Source organism: Homo sapiens, chromosome 7, assembly GCF_000001405.40.
Source record: "Homo sapiens chromosome 7, GRCh38.p14 Primary Assembly".
Lineage (NCBI taxonomy): Eukaryota > Metazoa > Chordata > Mammalia > Primates > Hominidae > Homo > Homo sapiens.
Window position 1 is genome coordinate 57,622,206 of NC_000007.14, and position 3,090 is coordinate 57,625,295.

The window sequence follows — 3,090 nt, forward strand, 5'->3', positions numbered from 1 at the left end:
CCCAGTGACATAACAATTGTAACGTTATGGCACAGTTACTTTAAAAATATATTTATTAAAAAAGATTTATAATTCTATAGAAAAAGAAATATATATCTCATAGTGTAGCCTAAGTGTCCAGTGTTTATAAAATCTACAGTAGTGCAGTCATGCCCTAGGACTTCACCTTCACTCACCACTCACTGACTCACCCAGAGAAGCTTCCAGCCCTACACGTTCCATTCATGGTAAGTGTCCTAGACCAGTGCACCATGTCTAGGTACCATACTATATTTTTATATAGTGCAATACTATGCTTTTACTGCACTTTTCATGATATGTTTAAATGCACAAGTACTGACCATTGTGCTACAACTGCCAACAGTATTCACTGCAATAACCTGTGCCCAGGTGTGCAGCCTGAGAGCAGTAGGCTGTGCCATAGAGCCTAGGTGTACGGTAGGTACAATATTGAGGTGTGTGTAAGCACACTTTGTGACGTTTGCACAAGAAAAATTACAATTACCCAAGGACACGGTGACACATGAAGGGAATCAATATTGAAGCTCTTGCCCTCAGATTGCACCCAGGGCCACATCCCTATGCATTGAAGCCTTGGCTCCCAGTTCATGGGCACTTTCTCCTGCTGAGGTGATGCCAACATGCACATAGAGAGTCCTCCTCATGCTCTGGCTCTTGGTCCCTCCGCCCCTGGAGACGTTGTCTCCACCCTCCCTGAGTCACCCACTCCTACCTGTATATTTTTGTCCTTGTCACTGCAGAAAATGTAGCCACTCCAGACGCTCAATTTCAAACACCCTTTTTTTGACCACCACTTTCTTTTTTCCAGCTGCCTCCCAAATCCAACACACTTCAATTACTCCAAATTTTCACTTATGTGTCTCACTCACTTTCTTGCAAATTTCCCCTCCTCCCAGCTGACACTATATGGTCCAGCCTGTCATCCACCCTCTCTAACACTCTCCACTCTCTTGCCCACAATTGATTGTACTCCCAGGGCAAAACTGCACTCTGCTGAAATCCAGCCACCCACTCCCTCTGCTCCTGCACTCAGGTGGCTGAGCAAAGCCAGAGAGAAACACACGTGCCTTCTGCTCTCATTTAATCATCAAGCCCAAACCTCCAGTGGGCCCTGGATGATGTCCTGCAAACTCACTCATTTCCTGAGTCCATAAGTCTGCCAGACTTCTTTATTTGTTATTTTAATAAAAATATATATAATCTAAGCATGTTATGAATACCAACTGATTTAATTATCATAAAACTCTATGAATCTGTTCTATAATAATCACCATTTCACAGCTGAGGAGATGCTGGCACAGGAAGAGATGAAGCGACTTGCCCTGGAGCCCAGGCACCCAGCCCTGGAAGTGCTGCCTTGTCCCCAGGCAACAGTATCGTGCCTTCTCCTTCCTCCTTAAACCTCTAAAACCTTCCCCAGTCTTCCTTACACCTGCTGCCTTGCTTCCTATTCAATTTGAAAATAGATAAAGAGAGACCCTTCCCTGGATCCCACCCCCACATCTCCCCAGCTGCTTGTCTCTGTGCTTCCTTCTCCACCTTCGCTTGTTATTGTAGCTGGAGTGTCTGCACTCATGTTAGGGGTGACTTTTCTCCATCATATCCACAGCTCAACCCTCAGGTTCTTTCCTAAGTGTCTGCTTTGCACACTGCCCCGTTCCACAATGCAGCTCTCCCACCCATCTCACACCCCACATGCTTACTTATTCATCATCTGTTCTGCTGTACTACAGTGAGGGCTACACAGGGGCAGGGATTCTGGGTATCTTATTCACTGCAGATTCCAGCATCTAGAGCAGTACCTGGCACCTAGAAGGTGTTGGTATTTAATGAAGTCAGTCATTTTGTATGTCAGTCTCTGGCCTGGTGCTGGGGACACTAGGGTGATTCAGACAGGTCCCTGCTTATACCAAGTTTACAGTCCCATAGGGGAGACAAACACATTACCTGACAAATTTGCAGGCAGCCATTTATATTTTTCATCTTACAAAGCAGCCCTTATTGTACTTGAGAGGAAATGCACTCAAGCCGTGAGGCGTAGCCCCACCTCCCCTACTTCAGGACAGAAAGCCCCAGGCTCCAGCCCTTACATTCCTGGGCCTCCAGGGCTCCCTGGACTTTAGGAAACAGCTAGTAAGGGAGTCCAATTCCACTTTGACTCAGAGCTGTGGGATGTCAACAAGGTGCTTCCCCTCTCCGGTCCTCAATGTCTTTGTCTATTACAAGAGAGGATGGTGCCAGCTCAGCAAGCTCCACGGGGCTGGGGCAAATGGGACAGGGAGGGTGAAAATGCTTTGTGGACAGAGAGGAGGAATTCTGAGTGGCTATCAGAAAGGCACCATGTTTATTTGACAATTTCAAACATGACAGAACTGCAGAACACAGACATCAAGACTCCCCTGTAATTCCATTTGGAGTCTAAAGCTTAGATTTTGTTTGGTTTAAGCAGTGGCAAACATTATGTATAGATATAGATGTGGGATCATAAAATGTGTTTAAAAGTTATTGATGTGGGACAACTTTGCATATCAATATACAAGCATTTATTTTATTTGTTTTAATAGCTGCGAAATATCCCATTGTATGAAGAGACTAAAATCTGTCCTTCTATTGTGGATATTTGGAATGATGAACCATTGGAACAAAACAGAGAGGGCAATCAAAGCATTTGACAGCCTGGCAGGTCAAAGTGAGAGGTTTATTACAGAAGACAGTAATGCTAAAAGGGGAGGAGAGCTAAGTGAATCCACCTGCTGCAATGAGAGCCCAGAATCCCACCACCCTAAGAGGCAGGAGACAACGTGGCCAAAAGGGCAGAGGCCCCCAGGGCTCCCAGCAGTGCCAGATGCAAACTTGTCATCCCACCCTGTGTGTGGGCTTCCTATGCCCTGGACAGTCTTTCCTGAGGCAGAGGCTGTTTTAAGAGCTTAGAGCACCCATTCTACAGCAGAATTTCTTATGAATGAGGTCCCTGTTCTGTGCTCCTCACCTATCCTGGGCGCTTTTCCCAACTTGACTTTGGGTAGTGGGTGGATACAGGCCCCAGGTAAACACGAGGCCCCAGGTGGA